Below are 21,375 nucleotides of genomic sequence, written 5' to 3' on the forward strand. Positions count from 1 at the left end.
CTTTAAAACATCCCAAGGCTCCTCATTGTCTTAAGAATCCAAATTCCTGACAACTCAGAGGGTCTGTCACAATCTGGCTCCAACAGCCCTTTCTGGTCTCATCTCATATAAAACTGACCCCTCTTATCCCAAATAGGATGGTCTGCCCTAGCTGTTTAAAAATTTCCCCCCTCCCCCAGATGGAACCATAGCATCTCTCTTTGCATAGAATGGTACAGAATCTTCTCTCCCATCTCCTTATTGCTGCTGCTCCTTCCCCTGGGAGCCTCCCCTGTGTATTGGAAGTCTAGCCATGTGTCACCTCCTTTGAGCACCCTTCTTGGGGCAGAACCACTTATTTCTCATAGTGCTTAGTCCATACATCTATGGTAGCACTTATTGGATCCTTGTGTGTGTGTGTGTGTGACCTCAGAGCTTAAGATGGTCCCTGGTGCATAGTGATGACTCTGTCAATGTTTGGGACAAGAGTGAAGTTCTAAATAGGGCACAATGGATTTAACTGCTGGCACCAAATCCCTCCCCTGTGAAAACAGCCCCAGCCTCTGAGTCCTGTCTACAGTCTCAGCCCACCCCAGACCCATTCTCTTTGCAGGGATCCTCAAACCTCCCTTTGCAAGAAGATCTTCTGGATGCTTTTTTCACAGGTAGAGCATCCTTCCTGCGCCACAAAAGGTTGAGTGGGTAGTGATCAATTCATGCTCAGTGAATTAGATTTGTTCAGAGAGGCCCAGAGATGGGGTAATGATCCCATGGGTAAAAGATCCATGTCTGGAGAAAGGATAGGTGTGCACCTAGAAGAAGAGAAGAGAGTGGGGCTCATTTATATTCTGAGATTTAAATGAGATGTGGCGGGAGGACTCTTCATCCCATCTGATTAAACCTACACAAGAGTTCATGTGGGGGCACACAAAGACTAACTAAGGATATTCTCTACGTTCTACTCAACTTTTGGGATGTAGCTTAGAATCCTAAAACACAGTACTACAGAAAGCCTCGAAACTAGGCTAGATTCTCCTCCCATCCCATCCAGGCTTCTCCGCAGCAGAAATAGGTGTTTAATTAAATGGAATAATATAGTTCTCCTTTCATACCTCAGGAGATCAATGAGCCCATAGCTAGCACTCACATATTTATAGACTGAAGAAATGAACATATTCTGGGGCTCAAGGAGATCACCACCTACTGGGGAGGCAGGGGAGAAGGGAGGATGCTAGGACCCTGCTATCCCCACTACACGGCACATTGCAGTCTAGGGTTCACCGTGCAGTAGAAAGGAGAAGCAAAGCGATGAAACCCTCGTGGGATTCGTGAAGGCTTTATGGAAAAGCGATGTGATGATCAGTGGGATTTCTAGGGGGAAGGGATCCAGGGCCAGCAACCAGCTGAAGGAAAGGCTGAAAGGAGGGAAATGCAGGGTACGATCTGGATGGAGTTAAAATGGCAGAAAACTGAGGCTGAGTGAGAGGTCTGGTACTGAGGTGGGGATCGGAGTTCCAGCACTGGCCTTTGACAGCCTCTGGGTCCCAGGTGGAATGGGTAGGGCCAGAGCCCTTGCCTTCTTCTCCAATCAACACCAGGGGTGTGGTGTCTTAGGCAAGGATGGGTGCTGTGCGCCCTGCCGCCCACCATAGGCAGGGCCTGGGAACCCGGGGAGGACTCTCCCCACCTCCAGCCTCCGGCAGTGTCCGCCAGGCAGGGCGGGGGCCAGCGCTGGTGTTGAGTAGTGGACCCCAGGGGGATGACTAAGCCTTGCCTGCGAGCAGACTCGAGCATGCCAAGTTATGAGACGATGATAACTCTGCCCCGAGCCTCTGGGGTCGTGGCCGTGGGCCGGCAGGGGCGAGGCGGGCGTCCAGAGGGCGGATAAAAGGGGCCGCGCTGCGCCGGGGCCGCTTTCTCCGCGCGGTGCCTGCAGGGCTCCCAGCGAGTGGCAGCTTGGGAGGGGCCGCCCGGGCGGTCAGACTGGCACCTGAGCGGCCACCGCGTCCCGGCCAGGCGGGCAGACCGACCCCCTCCTCACCTCGCGCGCGGCTGACGCAGGCAGGGCGCCCGGCCCCTCCTGGGGACCATCAGGTGCCGGCTGGGGGCTGTAGGCACCGGACGGAAGCAGGCGGTGTGAGGACCGACGACGCGGGCATGGCGGGGGCGGCCTGCGAGCCGGTGGCCAGGCCGAGCCTGACCTCCATCTCGTCTGGGGAGCTTCGCAGCCTGTGGACCTGCGACTGCGAGCTGGCCCTGCTGCCGCTGGCTCAGCTGCTGCGCCTGCAGCCCGGTGCCTTCCAGCTGAGCGGCGACCAGCTCGTGGTGGCCAGGCCCGGGGAGCCGGCGGCGGCGCGGGGGGGCTTCAACGTCTTCGGTGACGGCCTCGTGCGCCTCGACGGGCAGCTCTACCGCCTCAGCAGCTACATCAAGAGGTGGGTGGCCTCGCCGTGCGCCCTGGCCCGTCGCCTGGTACCCGCAGACGCCTCCACCCGGCTGCGGTCTCTGGGAGCCTGGGCTGTCCTCGCTGCCTGCGACACCGCGTGGCCCCTTGCTCCGTGCGCTTCTAGACTTTCCTTCTGCTTCTATCACCCGGAGCCTGCACGCTCGCCCTGGTTCTTCTGCCTCTTGCACTGACATTTTGCAGCTGCTGCTTGAAGCCGCCCAGAAGGGCATCAGGACTGGGGGCGAGGGGGAGGGCAGGGGCCCCCCAGCCAGAGCTCATGAGTGGCAGATGCTTCTCCCATTCTGGCTCCTTAACTGGGTCAGATGAGCTCAAATTGGGAGCACACCCTTTAGGGGCTGTCTGCAGCTCTGCAAGACTCACATCCTGGCTTTGGAGCATGGGTGGCGGTGAGGAGCAGGGGGCATGCACCATTCTGAGCACTGCCAGCCCTCTCCAGTGAGGAGACCGAGTGGAGAAGCATGCAAAAGCTCAAAGTTTCCCATCTCTGGCCTCACTTCGTGTTTCAAAAGTAAACAAATAAACCGCAGCTGAGAAGGGAACAAAGCCCCTGGAAGTCCAGCCCGGGGCCATGTGGGCTGTGGAAGGCACAGATAAGTTCTGGGGAAATAAGTGCGAAACCTGAGGGCCTTAATGGGAAGGAGGCCCCCAGGATGCTTGACTGTTGTGGCCAGAGTGCCCCCAAGCTCTTCTTGGCAGACCGGCAGGATGTGGCCCAGCCATCTGAAGCAGGCTTTGGTGCCACAGGGTAAAGGAGGGCACTTCAGGCCTGATTCCACATGGCCTCAGGCCTCCAGAGTTCACTCTTGGCAAGGGCCTGGAGTGCAAAGACCTGTTATATTTGTGCTGAGAGAGCCAAGTGCCTGAAGAGGCAAGCATGGTCTAGAGTTTGACTCAGAAATGAATAAGATAGCCAGCTTTTGAGACACAGCGCCTTTGCTACTGGGAAAGACAGCGTGCTGTGGCACCCTGTGGGTAGGAGGGAGCCAAGAGAGGGAAGCAAACAAAATGAGATATTGAACGTGCAGTCTTCAAAACTCTTGGAGAAAAAACCTTGCTTTTCCAAAGATAGTGAGGGCTCTGAATGCCTGAAGAACCATTCCCCAGCAAGAATTTCTCCCTTTCTTAGTGAAATGAAAATTCCAATTCCAAACCATAAGCGGAGGACTGTGGGAGGAACTGAGTCAGATGTGTGCAGATTTAAAAAGAAGATACCCATTGTATTTGAGAGCAGGGTATGAAAAATAAAAATGTCCAGAATGAACGAAGCCGTAAGTTAGGGTTTTGACAGAACCAGTTCTCCTAATTGTAGCAAACAGTGCTGCAGAATCTGAAATGATTTTGAAGTCTGTCATCTAACTTTTGCTTTGAACACCTCCTACACAAAAGAAAATTAAACAACAGTGATTCCCCTGACAGCTTTGAATCTAGAATAAACAACTGGGCCACAGTGACCAGGTAACACAGACCAGGGTGCAAATACAAAACAACAAATAATAGGCTATCATTGTATAAGCAATACTGTGAGGGCTTCTTTTGTACCTGGGAAATAGCAAGGAGCCTCTGAAAATAATTTGGGTGATGGAAGGAGCTATCTATTGTCCTCAGGCAGGGAAGGAGGCTTTTATAACTGAGTGTGCAGTCCTGAAGGATGGCCAGGAGGGAATGTGGTCTAAATGGAGACAGCCTTCCAGGCAGAGGGGGAGGACTGGACTGTGGGCAGCAGTGAGAGGTTCTGCCCTCGGGAATCAGGAGGTGGGAGGTATGCCGAAGCCAGAACTCAGATATCTAAAGCTTCGTTCCTCTGAGCTGCCAAATTTGCCAGTTGTTTTTGGCTTTAGAGATAGCATAAAACCTCCCTCCCTCCCCTCCCTCCCTCCCCACTTCCTTCCCTCTCTCCCTCCCTCCCTCCCTTCCTTCCTTCCTTCTTTTTGAAAAATAAGCTCTGGCCAGTTTTATTAAAGATTTGCATGATTTATTTTCACCAGTCTGTTCTGGCATGCTTCCAAAGATCTCAGGGCTGGGTGCAGTGCCTCATGCCTGTAATCCCAGCACTTTGGGAGGCTGAGGTGGGCGGATTGCTTGAGTCCAGGACTTCGAGGCCAGCTTGGGCAACATAGTGAGACCTCCTGTCTACAAAAATTAGCTGGGCATAGTGACATGCACCTGTGGTCCCAGCTGCTCAGGAGGCCGAGGTGGGAGGTGGATGGCTTGAATCTTGGAGGTGGAGCTTGCAGTGAGCCGAGATGGTGCCACTGCACTCCAGCCTAGGCAACACAGTGAGACCCTGTCTCAAAAAAAAAAAAAAAAAAAAAAAATCTCAGCATTCCCTGGATCAGTGACACCAGGGTGCACTTGCTATGGTATTTTCCACATGCTGTGCCCAATTTAATGTTATTACTGCTGGAGTGGTAGATGGCAGTTTTGAGAGTATGCACCTTAGTTCTGTATTTCAGATTTCCTCGAGGCCAGGCAGTTGGTGGGGATGACCGGTTTCACTTTGCCTTGTCTATCATCTTCAGAGCCGGATTGCCCCAGCTTGTATTTTTGACCCTTAATGGGTTGGAGCCTAGAGTGGATGGACTCCAGTGACTTTTCGTCTTCTTTGCGGCCACCATATTCTGGCCTTGGATGTGGGATGGCCTCTAACCAAAAGCAGCCACCAAGATGGCCAGGGATCCCAAAAGGCAAAATGGTTCTTAATCATTTTGGACCATAGAACTTTTGAGAATTCTACGTAGATTCCCCAGAAATGTAAATATATACCCAATTTTTGCTGACCATCCAGGATGTTCATGAGATACTTGGACCCAGGTTAAGAATCCTTGCTCTATTAATTAATTAGTTCTTTTTAACTCAACAAATATTTTTGGCATATGGGATAAGCCCCTGGTGTAATTAGAATTTCTTTCTGGGACCTCATAAGTATGTACTGTGGCTTTCATGAGGCCCTTTTCCAAGGAACCCCGAAAGGCTAAGAGCCACCGACCTTGACTTTCAGGTTATTCACTCGCTAAGAGAGCAACAGGATGATTTTAGCAGCCCTACTTAGGTTCATTTTCTAATACTTTAACATTTTTTCTAAGTACATACCTACTAAGTAACCTAAAGAAATCCAGCATAGTGGGAAGGTTTAGTGATGACCACCAGCTCTAAAGCTCCTTCAAAAACCTACTTTAAAAATATTTGTCCTATTTTGTAGGATTTATGGCAAGATCTTTATTTTTATTATTTTCTTTCAAGATCAGGATTTTCGCCCATGTTGTAAACACAATGTGCTCAGGACACGAGATGTGGGTAATGGTCATTCAGGGAGCCATTCATTCAATACTTAAAAGTCAAAATTACCATTAACTACGACACACACACAAACACACACACACACACACACACACATGTTTTTTCCTATAAAGCAGCCTCTTGGTGAAATATAATGGCAAACGTTTGGCAAAGAAGACCTGGAGTCCCTTCTTTTTGGTGCTCCCCTAGCATGAAAGAGGCTGCCTGGAGAATAAAAATAAATACAATAGAAATGGTGGCTACTAACATTTACTCGAATGGTGTAAAGTATTTCACAGCTACTATCTCATAAAAGTTTACAAAGTTTGCATTACTGTTGTTTCTCCTTTTTACAGATGTAAGCATTAGGACTCAGAGCTTAAGTAATTTACCTAGGTAAGATGCTGCTAAGTGGGAGAACCAGGAGAACCTATGCTTTCAGCAAATTACTTTGAACCTGAAATAATCTTGCTTTCTCACTCATTTCCTGAATCTACAAATAAATAACTGGAATTATGTCAGCTAGTGCACATTTTGTACAATCAGCCTACAAAAGTAAGTAAGTGCAGTGATTTTAAGGAAGCCACTAAAAGCAGAGCTGTGACCTGCTCCTGGATGGGTGACAGTCACACCTACTCAGGGCGGAGAATGCAGGTGAGGTGAAGCGGCACTCATAGGGGTAAAATGAGGACAGTAGGGCTGGAACACACTTGGAAGTTTACTGGGGGAAGCCTCACCTCCATCCTGCAGTGGGAAGTGCTGGGCTCTGTCTGCTGGCCCAGGCCCAGTTCTCAGAAGAGATTCCAACTTGAGGCTGGGAGGTTGGAAGATGTGGTCTTAGATGTAGCAACCTGCTTAGGACAGCAGCCCCTTAGCAGGACACACAGTGATGTTGGTGAAATAATAACCATCCATGCATTGAGCTGTGAGATTTTTAGGAGAGTCAGTCTAGAGGAAGGGCTCTGCTCTTTGCGAGCTGAATGACCTTGGGAAATTTACTTATTGTCCATGGGACTCCATTTCCTCAACTATAAAGTGGGAATAGTAATAATACCATTAAGCAGCACCAGAAGCCAAGAGCTTTACACACATTATTGAATCTCTTAGCCACTCATGGGGTGCCTTTTTTTAGCCAGATTCTACAGGTGAGGAAAATGAATGTCTGCAAGGTTAAAACACTAGCTGAGGTCACAGAGACAGAAATCACACTCAGATCTGATGAGTCTACAGCAATGTGCCACCTGACCATCTTTCCTGCTTGCCTTCTTCAGAGCCAGGCTCTGGACTTGCAGCCACACTTGGGTCTCCTTTCTACTCTCAGCCCCCCTGGTCCTTGCCACCTACCTGCCTGCCTGCCTGCGTGCAGCCACCCCATAGTCCTCATGGATGGGCTAGGCTGTGACTCTTCCTGGGGTGCTCCCTGCCCCTGCTCTTGTCCAATCCTTGTGGGCTGTTTGGCTTGACAGGACAATATCTCTCCTACTACCCATCTTACCCCAGTACGTGGCTATAACCCCAGGCCCCTCCTGACTTGCTCCCCTTGGCTTAACTGACTAGGGGAGAACCCAGTGGAGCCTGGACACGTGAATACAGAGAACTATGCATTTCTCTGGCATTAGTATGTTTGAATGATTTACCAGTTTGCAAGCCTATGAATAGCAGGGACCATGTCTTAGACCAGTGCTTCTCAAACTTTAAATAAGCATGCAAGTCTCCTGGAGACCTTGTTAAAACACAGATTCTGATTTATTATGGGGGGAGCCCTGGATTTTTCATCATGCCAGGTGATTCCAGTGCTGTTAGTCCAAGGATCACACTTTGAGCAAGAAGGTTATACATTCATCATTTCATACCAAAATGGTGTATTTTCTCATCTGTCTCCCTAGGAGACTATATGCTTCTTAAAAGCAAGGCTGTTTCCTTTCTCATCTCTGTGTCCCCAGTGCCCAGCACACAGTAGGTACTCAGTAATCGTTCCTTCCATGCATAAATGAATGAATCATTCTCTGCCCCATCAGAGTTTTACACACACTAAGTGTCAATAATTCCTTAAGGAATGAATGCATGAATATGTGTACCCTTGAATAATGTCTGTGTGAGCCACACACATTAGAGTGAGAAGTCTAAAAATTTTGCTTTATTTCAGTAGAACTAGGGCAGAAGGCGGAGGGAAGAAGGGAAAAGAGATTAGGGCGAGACTCTGTGTAAGGCGATCAAGCTAACACTGGAAAGTCATGGCAGGGGCAGCCTGCTTCCCCCAAGAGTAAAATGGCTCTGCAAGCTTTTGCTTAGTGTCACAGCAAAGAATTATGATGGTGGCAAGCAGTTCCTGGGCCTCCTACACAGACTATTGCACTGTGTGTTCTTCTTTTTCTCTGCTCAACTGTCCATATTTTTTTTAATGAACACACACACACACACACACACACACCCCACCCTTTGATGGAGGCCATGAAGGATTTGAATTCCTATTTGTCATTGAGCAGAAATTGTTAGAGCCAAGGGAAATTTGGGGCAGCTTTGAAAGTTGGGTGTCTTAGAGGTGGGCCATCTTTCAGTGGCTCCTGATTTGCTAGAAGCAAAACACAATGCTCTTTTTTGGTCCTCCTTTTCAGATGTTGCTGTCATTAAGCTGTTCCCTTTAGCCTCCTAAACTGAAAAAATGAGGAAAGAAATTGGAACAAGGAAGGAGCAACTCTTGCTCATTTATCAGATGCTGATATTTTCCTTATTTCCTGGGAACTCAAATGAACACAGCCCTGGTTGGGAGTCAGAAGTTTACAGAGCTTCGTCCTATGGGTTTGCCAAGTTGGCCAGGATTAGAGATACTCATGATGTTTATCAAGCATCTACTATGGGTTCAAATTCGTATGTCTACATTGCATGTACTGCATTTACTCATCATGAGGGAAAAAATACTGTTATGCCCTTTCCACAGATGAGTGAACAGGTGCAGACAGGTTAAAGAAGTCCCTCAAGGTCATAGTGAGTTGTGGCTCTGGAATTGAGTTCACATAGCCAGCAAATCAGGACTTGAATTAGATCTTATTTTGAAATACTGTGTTTCCCATTACATTGTCCTGCTGGGGTTTTTTGTTTGGCTGGTTGCTTTGGGTTGTTTGTTTGTTTGTTGAGATAGGGTCTTGCTCTGTCACCCAGGCTGGAGTGCAGTGGTGCAGTCATAACTCACTGCAGCCTGGAATTCCTGGACTCCAGCAATCCTCCCACCTCAGCCTCCTGAGTTGCTAGGAGTATAGGCATGCACCACCACACCTGGCTAATTTTAAAAATTTGTTGTAGAGGCAAGGTTTTCCTAGGCTGGTCTGGAACTGTGTTGCCCAGGCTGGTCTACAACTCCTTGCCTCAAGCAGTCCTCCTGTCTTGACCTCCCAAAGTGCTGGGATTACAGATGTGAGCCACCACGCCCGGCTTTGCCCTGCCTTTTAATCTTTGGATTGAAGCCAAGCTTAGAAACTTTCACCCCAGAAGCATTTTGGGGCCAGGGTAAAGCAATGAAGAAATGAGATTTTAAAGAAACTGTCTATCTTAAAGTGTTTGCTTTTCATTCCTAATGATAATAATTTCAGCAACTATGATAAATATTCAATATGTAGAAGCAATATTTGCATTAGTAATTCTGAAATATCTATGATTAAAGGCCGGGTGTGATGGCTCACACCTGTAATCCCAGCACTTTGGGAGGCTGAGGCAGGCAGATCATTTGAGGTCAGGAGTTCGAGACCAGCCTGGCCAATGTGGTGAAACCCTTGTCTCTACTAAAAATACAAAAATTAGCTGGGCATGGTGGTGCACGCCTGTAATCCCAGCTACTTGGGAAGCTGAGGCAGTAGAATTGCTTGAACATGGGAGACGGAGGTTGCAGTGAGCCAAGACTGTGCCAGTGCACTACAGCCTGGGTGAAAGAGTGAGACTCCATCTCAAAAAACAAACAAACGAACACACAAACAAAGAAGATCAAATAACTAGTCCCTAATATAATCTAGTAAGGATAGTCTTAAACTAAAACCAGTGATTACATGTCAGAAACTTAAATATCTGTGCACCTTAACAACTAAATTCTCCGATCTTATCGTGTTTTAGTGAATGCTCACATTTATTTATTTCAATGGAATTTCAAGGTGCTTAACAATTGGACCATAACTGGGAGGCTGGGGATGGAGGAATTAATGAGGTATTTCTTATCTGTGGCCTGGTTAGAGTTAGGGAGCTTATTAAGTAGGGATCTTGGCACAATCTCTTGTCTGTAAGTTCTGGCATCAGAGGTCTTCTATAAGCAGTGTTTTTACACATCTGTGCTACAGTGATAACTGGCATGCACTGTGATGAGGTTTACAGCCTGGTTAAGGAGCTGAAATTCAAGTACCCCTGAATCATCAAAGGCAGATTAAATTATGTTGCATGTAGTTTTATTATCCAAGGTGTTTTATGAAATTCAGGCTTGAAAATGGATAGCTCATGTGTAGGTCATACATTACACTCAACATGTGGCTATCCAGCAGGCTTCCTTCTGTGACCATGCCAAATACCTGCTCTTTGAGCCCAGTAGCATTGAAAAAAGCCTTCCACCAAATTCCAGGGAAAACTGATTGTTCTCTGAACCAGAGATCATTTGTAAGTTGAGATTTTTATCTGTGGGATCACTGACCCATTGGATGTCAATCAATTTTGTACGCAGAGGGACATACTGCACTAGCATTTGTGTCATCAGAAAAGGCATCAAAACTGCAGATTTCTGGGTGCATTGTACACAAATGCCATGCGCTTTCCATTAAGAATGACAATCAGACTCCAGATATTGAAAGAATAGAGGAATCTCCCCGAGGAATGTAGTAAAGGAGCTGAAATGACCATGACTGAACTCCATGTAAACAGGATGGTAGGATAATGGGAAACCTGCCTCGAATGGGTCATAGGTGGAGCCTGCTCCCCAACTCCTCCCGCATCACCCATCTATTTTGTTATGTTTATGTCAACCAGACTTGCCCTTTCCTTCCTCTTTTGCTACAGGGGTTTTCTTTCTCTTTTCTCCCTCTGTATCCTCACCCCCCACGTAACAACATACTTCACCTTCTCTTCACCCCCTTCCCAAGCCACTCTTACCTGCCTGCCTAATGATGATTTCAGCAACTATGATAAATATTCAATATGTAGAAGCAATATTTGCATAGTAATTCTGAAATATCTATGATATTTGTGCTGGGTGTTTGGCCGCTGAATAGATGGATGGCAAGAGGGACGGGCGAGCACAGGGGCGCCCTGCACTGCCTCCGTCCACTGTCCCCTTTCTAGACTCTGAGCCCCTCCAGCACAAGAAGGCAATGAGACACATGTAAATGCTCACCTGGTGCCCGGCTCATCAGCAGGACTCAATGAAGTTACTCAGTGAATGAATGAATGAGCCCAGCAAATGGTGGTTTTCTTTTTCCTGCCTTCTCCTTTGCTTTCTTTCTCTAGTAACTTTTGGCAGTTGGTCAACTGGGATAAAAAAAAGGGCAGGAAAATTCTCTCCCAGCTGATGTGCAACACCAGCACCACTCCCCTCAGTCTCCTGAGGTTCCCCCATCTCACCCCCTTTCTCCTGTTCTGCCCAGGTGAGGATGAGGGCAGGGGAGGGGTGAAGGAAGACCCATACCAAAGCCATGTGTGGGTCTGCATTCTCTTACCTGGCCATCCATTCCCTTGTAACACCCCAGCGCCCCACCCCAGCGCCCCTCCTCCATTCCCATCGTCCTCTCCTCTACTCCTGCCATCCTCACCCACTCCGTGAGCATCAACATCCACACCCACCTTTTTCTTCTCTGGAACACTGCAGCCCCATGTTCCCCTCCCTACCCCAGGAACAGCTCCCAAGCAGCCACCACTACAGATGTGGTGGGAGGTGGAGACTGCTTTAAAAGCTTGGTGAAATAGAAGACAGGAAGCATTTTAGAGGCTCCATCAGGGGTCAGGTTTTAAATGCTCTCAAAATCAGGTCTGACAATCCCAGCAGAAAGATAATGACATAGATTTCTAAGAAACCAAGCTGGGAGACAGCCGAGCGGAAGCCGTGTTTTCCTGCCTCAGGGTAGATATTCTCTCGCATGCTCTTGACACATGCCCCGGTCACTGTCTTGTGTGCTGGCCCCTCCGAGGGATGGTGGGAAGTGGACGCAGGTGAGGGATGCCTAGAGTACTGTGGGCACCACTCCCTGCAGCGGCTGTTTTCTCGCCAAGGCTGTGATTTTCATGTCAGGCACTGGAAGGACAATCAGCCAGAAAGAATTGCTTGGAGCTGTCTCTGCTGATGACTAGATATAAGAAACAAACATGCTGTGGTGTAGCAAAAGGCAGCCCGCGCGCTCAGCTCAGCCAGCCATTCGCTCCGTGCAGATGCTCGCAGCTGTGTCAATGGGGAACCAGCTCTGTGTTTCAGAGAGACTGCGGCAGACGCATCCTTCAGCCTGCTGGGGGCCATTCAGCCTACCTACATCCACATGGCATCTGAGCTTGGGTTTAGTTAGAAAATTAACTAACTTCTTGAAGGAAGCTAATCTGCACTTGGACCTTTTTATGAACAATGCTGACAGGGATGTAGCTAGGCTGCTTGGAAGATGTGAAGGGCAGGGAAGAAAGCTAACATGCTGGATGACAGAGTCAGGATTCAGAAAGATCTTCCTAAATGAGAATAATGAAAACCAAAAAGGCTAAATTTAACAAGGATGTAGTGAAAAGTCCAACATCAGTTGTTTTCGTTTTTTAATTACACAAGTTCAGCGTAGGAGAGATGTGAACTAGTAATAGTTCATATGAATATTGGTTGATTCTGTAATCTATGGAGGGGGCTGGTTTATCTTGGGATTAGTGGGGAAGTGGGGAGAAGGAAAGGAAAATTCAAGACCCACAAGTTAAACAGGATGACTCCACTGGAGAAAATTCAGCTAATTCTACTATTATGTCGAATTCATTATCAATTCAGAGGGACTTAGAGCTCTTATAGCTTCAAATGAACGCTTTTAGCCCAAACGACAGATGATACTGGTGATCATCTGGTAAAGTCTGAGAGCCAAGTGTTGATGCCAGGACACCCCTAGGGCCATGGCTGCCTGTGGGCTGCACGCTGATCCTTGAGCCAATCAGCCATGACCAGAAAGATTCGTTTATATGGTGACCTCTGTAAGGATGCATTTCAAGGAACTTCCCTCCAAGGTCTGTGGCTGTGGCAGATACCTGTCCAGTACATCCCCTTCCTAATTTAGATGAAAGGGTACGTTACATTTGCAATGATCTCTGCTTCTTCATAGGTATGTGGAACTGACCAACTACTGTGATTATAAAGACTACAGGGAAACTATATTGAGCAAACCAATGTTGTTCTTTATTAATGTACAGACCAAAAAAGACACCTCAAAAGGTAAGTATCTATATTAGTCCATTTTCACACTGCTATAAAGAAATACCTAAAACTGGGTAATTTATAAAGAAAAGAGGTTTAATTGGCTCACGGTTCTGCAGGCTATACAGGCTTCTGCTTCTGGGGAGGCCTCAGGAAACTTACAATCATGGTGGAAGGCGAAGGGAAAGCAGGCACGTCTTACATGGAGCAGGGGGAAGAGAGCGGAAGCGGGGCGGTGCTACACACTCTTAAACAACCAGATCTAGCAAGAACTCACCCACTATCATGAGAACAGCAAGGGGAAAATTCACTCCCATGATCCAGTCATCTCTCACCAGGCCCCTCCTCCAACATTGGGAATTACAGTTTGACATGAGATTTGGGCAGGGACACAAATCCAAACCATATCAGTATATAAATAGTTTTGGTTTGGTCCTTGCTGGGACCAAACTGGGCTGAGGTGTGGACTGATGAGCAGGGCAGAAATCAGCTTGTGACAAGGTAGACAGCAAGGAGCCTGGTGGGTGAGGCCACCTGAAACACAGCACATGCCTGCAGAACAAACCCCTCAATGATCCTAGGGCAGAAGCCACCTGTCTGGGAGCTTCTTTTCTACTTCTTGCCTAGGTGGGAAGTGATCTGACATTCTGAGCCTTTGGAGGTTGCAGAAATGACTAGAGTGATGAGGATGATATATAACATGCTCTACCACGTATCAAACACCTACTATGTCTAAGAAGTGCTCTAATGTAATGGATCACCACAACAACTTTGTAGGGCTTATCAATTCAGGACGTTATGAACATGAACATCATTACTATCAATAATTATTCTGGGAAGAAGGTATAAACTGACCCGGGCAAACTAGGATGCGTAATTATCCCACTTAGGAGGTGCTTACACTATTCCCATTTTATAGATGAGGAAACTAAGAAAATAAATAGCCATTGTGGATGCTTTTCTGTTTCATGCCATGATGTTGGAATGTCATGTTTAGACACATCTCTTCATTGTTTCTTCCAAGAAATCAGATTAGCTGGTAGCAACTATATTAAACCAAATTTCAGTATGAAAATGTCTCCATTTTGCCTTCCTCCTCCTGCTCAGAATGATATGTGGGGGAAGTCATGGGCATAACGTTCTGTAATAGAAGTAGAATTTCTTAAACTTGCTTCTAACTAACATTCTTAAAATGAGTCCAAGGAAATAAGAAATGATCTACGAATTTCAAATAGATTTCCCCAAACATTCACTCTCATTCAAATTTGTGGAGCTCTCTCTGCTCATTTGACAATAAAAAGTCATGATGTTCTTTCTGCAGGAGAGGCCAGGAACAGAATGCCCAGTAACAAGAAGTGCTCATTAGAACATCTGAAGCCCACGTGTTCTTTGGCTTGATTATAACCAGAAAGCCAGATAGTTCTTTAGGAATGTAATTCACAGCTGTATCAAGTACACCTCCTGCACCGATCACTCAGGAGGAATCTAAAAAAAGAGTAAGAGCCCTCTTCATTTTAACATTTAAATGAAAGTATAGGTAGTGGTACAAGGAGGAATTTGTAGGTAGCCTATAGAATGTATGAAGTTGTCGAACAACTATCATGGAAGGAGGCACGTGTCTGAGTCATGCTATAATGTGATGAATTGCCACAACAGAAATCCAGAAACCCAGTACTAGTTAATTGTGATAAAAGCCATAAAATGAAGAGGCTCTATGACACAAAGCTTAAGATGGTCAATTTTAAATTGCAAAATTATGATTAAGGCAATATGTCTAGTCTTGCTGTTATTCTAAACTGCACTTTTGTGCAAATCAGAAAAAGCCACCATTTCCTCAAGACGATTACTAATGCTTCCCACAAGTTTGTCATAATATAAAAATAATGTCTGTAAATGTGAATGACAGCCTCTAGAGTTAGGCAGTGTACAACCTGCCCCATCAGCACAACTGTGGAGTGTTGTGGCCATGAGTATATAATGACCCCAGAGGTGTTGGTTTGGTTTACATGAGATTTAATTGAAGGTATCAAGGAGTTTGCTTGCTTTGTTTATCTATTGTCTTAAAGAGGATATAAGGCAGCTTATATCTAAAGTGCCCAAAAAATAATTTTGGAGAAAGAAAAACATGGGTAAGAAAAACGAGATGAATAAGGTTAGTTTAAAATGCCTTCCTCGAGGACGTAAACACTTGCTGTTGGTGGACCGAAGGTTTGTCTCTGAGATATCTCAAAGTCAGTGTAAAACACTGAGTTCTAAAAATCACACAGTGGCTGGTCCCTGGCTGTTAAATGGAGGAGAACACAGGTATCTATGTGTCTCCTTAGACCAAGGACTGAGTAATTAAGGCCATGGAGCTTGATGCGGGGGACTGGAAAAGTTAAGAGGTTGCTGGTTAATACCATTTTATATTTCCTAATGAGTAAACAACCTTCTTTTGGCTTAAATCATGCAGAATTGAACATGAGGGGTTACCAAACCAAACTAATCAATCAACACCAAAAAAATCTGTCTGCCAGGACAGACACGTGGTATTATTTAAACAATGAGAAGGAGATGTTTTCCCACTTGGGATTGTGTTAGAGGTAGCAGCAGGGAGAAGAATCAACCTCTGGTTGCCTTGGTCCATAGAACCCTAGACTAGCCATTTGTCAGAATGTCTGGTCCCTGGAGAAGCTGGGGAGAGCTGGGCATGGGGTAGGGGTAGGGGTGGAGGTGGAAAGCATGGAGCAGCCCTGTTTCCTGATCTTTGCAGATTTTCTTTTGCAAATAAGAAAGTTTCTGTAAGAGCCAAGTTGTGATTTGAATACCCAGCAAGTCATGGTGGCTTATGCCTATAATCCCAGCACTTTGGGAGGCCGTGGCTGGCAGATTGCGCAAGTTCAGGAGTTCAAGACCACCCTGGGCAACATAATGAAACCCTGTCTCTGCAAAAAAAAATACAAAAATTAGCCAGGCATGGTGGCGAATGCCTGTGGTCCCAGCAACTTTGAAGGCTGAGGCAGGAGGATCACTTGAGCCCAGGAGGTTGAGGCTGCAGTGAGCTTTGATTACACCACTGTACTCCAGCCTGGGTGACAGAAACTGTCTTAAAAAAATAAAAAAAAAAAAGAAGAAGAAAAAATCCAGCACTGCAGGAACATGAAAACCAGCTATCTCGATCTTCCACTTTCCTTCCCCATAATGGATACATGCTGTGGAGGCACAGTTCTCATCTGTGATAATTATAGAGTGGAATTTTTGATTTCTGAGACTCCAGTTACAAACTGCAGCCTTGTGGGAGCTGATTATCTAGCCTGCCTTTACAGCAGCCCAGAACCTCCTTCAAATCTGCAAAATTCTCAGAAACACTTCTAGAAATCTGGCGAGGCTTTGTAGTAAGGTTGTGAGGGAGCAGAGAGGAAGGTTATAAATGAATAAAATCTTCAAAGGAGGTGGGAACCACTGCAATAGCAAATTATAAGAAGCATGCTTATGTCACATGGACACACTTGTTTCTGAATTCTGCTTGCTAATTTCTAGAAAGGACGTACGCGTTTCTTGTAAACACGAGGCACCCCAAGATAAGAAGACAGATAGAGCAAGGGATGGACATGGTCATCTCCTCAGTGATTGGAGAAAGTTACCGGCTTCAGGTAAGCCTAGCCTGTCTGAATCCAGGGCTGTCAACCACATGGAAGGAGCTTGTGCATTTCATGCAGGAACTGAGGCCCTATTGCCCTGGCTTAGGCCAAGAGAATGGCCCTTAGAAAACAAAGTGCATTCAGACACTTTGTTCTCAAAGGTGGCATTATTGCTACCAATAAAATGAGTTTAGTTCTTAGCAACCTATTAGAAATGGGTAAGAATAAATGTAATTTTGGCCAAGCAGTTCAGAATTTTTAGATGGAATATGATGCAAATGCAAAGTTTTGTTAGAAAAAATAAAGACAACAGTTTAAAAATATGTGTGAGAGTGAAAGGGAAATAAGAGGTGTGATGTTTTGGATATTTAGGCGGTTGTTAGTTCTACAATGTCAACAGGATACTTATGTCCATTAAGTCAATGCAATGTTCCTCTCTCTTTCAGTTTGATTTTCAAGAGGCAGTGAAGAATTTCTTCCCCCCAGGAAATGAAGTGGTTAATGGAGAAAATTTAAGCTTTGCATATGAATTCAAAGCTGATGCATTATTTGATTTCTTCTATTGGTTTGGGCTCAGTAATTCCGTTGTAAAAGTAAATGGAAAAGTTCTGAATTTGTCAAGTACAAGTCCAGAAAAGAAGGAGACGATTAAGTTATTTCTGGAAAAAATGAGTGAGCCTTTAATCCGAAGGAGCAGTTTCTCTGACCGAAAGTTCAGTGTAACTTCCAGAGGTATGTTAAAAATTCCGAAGGATATGTGGAAGGTAGTTAAATAAAAGGGTAGAGTAAAATAATGGAAGAGAGTCAATTGATTCAAAAGGCAAGACCTATTAATGAAAGGGAAATAGATCACAAAATTCAGAAAGTAAGAAGTGGGGCATGTTTATTACCAAAAACAAATGCAGTGACTTTTCCTTTTGAGCTCCTTTAAGTCTTCTGACATGAGGATTACATTATGCAGTATACCCCAAAATAACTTTAAATATTATTATTAATTTAAATGAGTATTGATGATCATTTAAATATTATTGGCAATCATATTGGAAGACTGCTGCCTTCCAAATGTTCATATTCTGTACAACAGAATGTGAACAAAAATGATCAGTTGGGAGGAGTCACTATATGGTCAAGATATCAGTCTTTTTTTTTTTTTTTTTTGAAACGGAGTTTCACTCTCGTTGTCCAGGCTGGAGTTCAGTGGTGTGATCTTGGCTCACTGCAACCTCAGCCTTCCGGGTTCAAGTGATTCTCCTGCCTCAGCCTCCTGAGTAGCTGGAATTCCAGGCGCACACCACCACGCCTGGCTAATTTTTGTAGTTTTAGTAGAGATGGGGTTTCACCAGGTTGGCCAGGCTGGTCTGGAACTCCTGACCTTGTGATCTGCCTGCCTCAGCCTCCCAAAGTGCTGGGATTACAGGTGTGAGCCACCGGGCCCGGCCAAGATATCAATCTTTATAGTATTTGGAAGGGTTCTCCAGATTTGGACAGAGCACAAAAGAATAACTCTTGAGAAGGTTTCACTTAACACACTCTTGATGACATATGGCAGGTTCTTGGTATTGACACCCGTGTGGCTGCAGGTGGCATGAATCATGCATGGCTTGTCTGGATCTGTCTTCTGCAGAGCCCATTCTCTCTGTCTTTTGCTAGTCTGGACTGGAGAGCAACTTCCCTGAGTCAGGACTCTTGCTGCTAATTGCAGAAAACCAGCAGTCTCTGTGAAGTTGTGGTGTTCTCAGAGTTCAGCTGTAAAATATAGAATCCTCATTAATTGTATTTACAGCCTGTGTTTTTTTGCTTTGTTTTTTGTGTTTTTCATTTTTTGAGACGGACTCTCGCTCTGTCACTCAGGCTGGAGTGCAGTGGTGCCATCTCGGCTCACTGCAACCTCCTCCTCCTGGGCATAAACAATTCTCGTGTCTCAGCCTCCCAAGTAGCTGGGACTACAGGTGTGTGCCACCATACCCAGCTAATTTTTGTGGTTTTAGTAGAGACGGGTTTTCACCCTGTTGGCCAGGCTGGTCTCGAACTCCTGACCTCAAGTGATCCAACTGCCTCAGCCTCCCAAAGTGCTGGAATTACAGGTGTGAGCCACCACGCCTGGCCACAGCCTGTGTTTCTTTCTTCAAATGTTTACAACAAAAATGCTTGCTACTAGCTATTTCTTATCCTAGAAGTGGTCTCTTTCTCTTTTCCTCCCTCCTTCCCTCCTTCCTCCTCTCTCTCTCCATCTCTTTCTCTTTCTCTCTGTGTGTTTTTCTCTCCTGCTCTTTCTCCATCTCTGTCTTCATTTCAGTCTCCATCTCTTCCATCTCCATTTCTGTCTCTGTCTGTTTCTCTCTCTTTCCCCTCTCTTTCTCTGTCTCTCTGTCTTTCTGTTCATCTCTTCCCATGTTGTTTCAGCTTTCTCTGCCTGGGAGTTCCTCACAAAGATGTGTTTGTGCTCTGCTCTGTTGCAATCATGTGGAGGATTATACTCTGATCCTTTTGGAGGGGATGATTAACTGGCCCCTTTGCTGCAGTGCCATATGTGCCTGGGCCTTTTTCTGACACCCCTGAGTTCACCTATCAGCCCCAGCAGCCTGGGCAGGATTTTCCGGTTTCACCATGGCTCACCCTCTGTCCTGTGGGCTGCCCAGAGTGTCCACCCCATCTTTGGGACACTGAGGAACATTTGAAGTTAAGCAGTGCTTCCTTGAAAGTTTACTCTAAGCTGGCTCTGGGGCCACTTCAACTTCAGAGGAGTGTGGCAGGGTCCTTCCTGGAAGCTGTCATCATGCACTGCAGGACAGCACAGCCAAGATGCACCTCCTGCTTGTCACGTGGTCCAAACCTGGCACCCACGACAGGCAGAGCACGGGGCCACTAGGGTGCTAACCTGGGCCCATTCCCTGCAAAAACTGTTCTCTGTCCTCAGTAACTATTCCCAAAATGTAAGCCTTTTGCCCTCAAGTGTGAAAGAGTATATTAAGCTCATTGCAAGTTTACTCCAGCCCGCAAAAAAGCAAGAGACAATCTTGTCCCACTAATAAAGAAAAAGCAACACATTTCTGTTTAGCCTTTTGAATTTTTCTGAGGAAGCCAGGATTCTCTATTAATTATTAAAATAGTTAGGTTGCATGAATTTGAAAGGCACTGTTGGTTTTTTTTTCTTTCAGTGATGGTAATAATGCATGCTTTGTTTACTGTTTTTTAGGTTCAATAGATGATGTTTTTAACTGCAATCTGTCACCCAGATCATCTCTGACAGAGCCTCTTTTGGCAGAATTACCATTTCCAAGTGTTCTGGAATCTGAAGAGACACCCAACCAATTTATCTGATTGAACTGAACATTGTAGCAGTTGCTCCCGCACTCCAGGCCTGTGCTAGACTATAGGCTGGGGGGAGGGTAGGAGGTGGGAGGCAGATACTTCCACCTGCGTGTCAATCTCCGGCTCCTCCATGGCTTCTATGGAGGACTCCTCTCTTCTGCTTCTGTGGATGTGATGCCCTGGCAGGCCCAGGGCAGCTGATTCCCCTAAAACTTATGATTACCAGGATGGAAAGGCCTTGGTCCCATGGCACTGGGTGGGGCTGGGGGATATTCTCTACTTTGAACACTTCTCCAAAGAGGCAGAAGGGCCACAGAGTTCTGCCACCCTGAACATTTTTCTCAGTTCCCTGGGAGTTTTTGTGGCAGCCTTTGTGGGAGTGGTCTGACTGGCTGTTGACCTAGCATGCTTCATAAATCAGGGTTTGGCCCTCTGCTTGGAGCATCCAACCCCTTGAACTCAAACCTGTCGAGCAAGGGGTTAAGAGTTCTGTTCTCTTGCCAACCTGGCTGGGCAAAAGCCTGTGCCATCTTTCACTGGGAGGCAAATATGTTTTTCATCCTGCCATATGACACCTATGAGAAACGTTCACAGTGAGGAGTAGCCAGGTTGCTAGGACAGTAACCCTGCCACACACTGCCTGAAATCGGAACTCCCTTGGCCTCCCTCTTAACTAAGTGACCCATGTAGAAGGAAGCCAGGAGATATGGTACCGAACAATGACAGGGGAAGGGTATTGGACACGGCAGCGTCCTCCTTATTGAAAACACATTATGTCAGTTGGGAATTTTAAATAAGCTTTTAGCAAACCTAACACTAAAAGCAAAATAGAAGAAAGCTATACCATTACCATAATACATTTTTCATCTCATGGCTACAATGGAATTCTTGAAAAGGAAAAAAAAATCCTATCTACATATAAAAACCTGCATGAATGAATCACTACATATGCTTATAATGAGGAAGAGTTATGGGTCCTGAGTGTAATTTTTTATCCTTTCTTAAAAAGTTTCTGTATTATGCATTTTGATAACACTACTGATGATCCTTCCACTTATATTTGAAATGTTATGTACCACATTTGCACAATTAAAACTTTTCTTAGCATTCAACCTAGAATTGATTAAATTTATGACTGAGGCTTCATGTGAGCTTTCCATTGTGGTTTGTGGGTGTTGTATTTGCCTTGTAACTTACTGAATTACAATAAGAATTGTGGGTTTTCATAGCCACTTTCTCAAGAAGCGCCTTTTGAAGAACAAGGCTATGAAGTATTTGAAGAAAGGAAATAAAATTTGATACTGATCTTTCAGAAAAGAGAAGGGGAA

At 45.9% G+C, this 21,375-nt stretch overlaps 1 protein-coding gene and 1 long non-coding RNA gene across 3 annotated transcripts in view, besides 1 other annotated feature; one reads left to right on the plus strand and one right to left on the minus strand.

Annotated features, from left to right (window-relative positions):
* The window catches only part of TEX26-AS1 (TEX26 antisense RNA 1), a 49,774-nt gene that overhangs the window by 21,545 nt on the left and 6,854 nt on the right, over positions 1–21,375 (minus strand). The gene's annotated exons all lie outside the window — the stretch shown is intronic.
* On the plus strand, positions 1,892–21,193 carry MEDAG (mesenteric estrogen dependent adipogenesis). 2 transcript variants are annotated; one of them, NM_032849.4, is made up of 5 exons: positions 1,892–2,414; positions 13,024–13,133; positions 16,635–16,747; positions 17,182–17,467; positions 19,932–21,193. In NM_032849.4, exons 1-5 carry the CDS (start codon positions 2,137–2,139, stop codon positions 20,054–20,056), a joined length of 912 nt encoding a protein of 303 aa, NP_116238.3. In that variant the 5' UTR covers positions 1,892–2,136; the 3' UTR covers positions 20,057–21,193. The 2 variants fall into 2 exon arrangements, with proteins under 2 accessions (NP_116238.3, XP_016876290.1); XM_017020801.2 differs by lacking the exons at positions 1,892–2,414; positions 13,024–13,133 and adding an exon at positions 13,500–14,611.
* Positions 2,493–2,994: an enhancer, noted in NCBI's record as "H3K4me1 hESC enhancer chr13:31481009-31481510 (GRCh37/hg19 assembly coordinates)". NCBI's record gives its function as "activates a minimal SCP1, AML or CMV promoter by ChIP-STARR-seq in naive H9 embryonic stem cells {active_cell/tissue: H9 hESC(naive)}" and the evidence as "EXISTENCE:reporter gene assay evidence [ECO:0000049][PMID:30033119]".

Source organism: Homo sapiens, chromosome 13 (assembly GCF_000001405.40).
Source record: "Homo sapiens chromosome 13, GRCh38.p14 Primary Assembly".
NCBI lineage: Eukaryota > Metazoa > Chordata > Mammalia > Primates > Hominidae > Homo > Homo sapiens.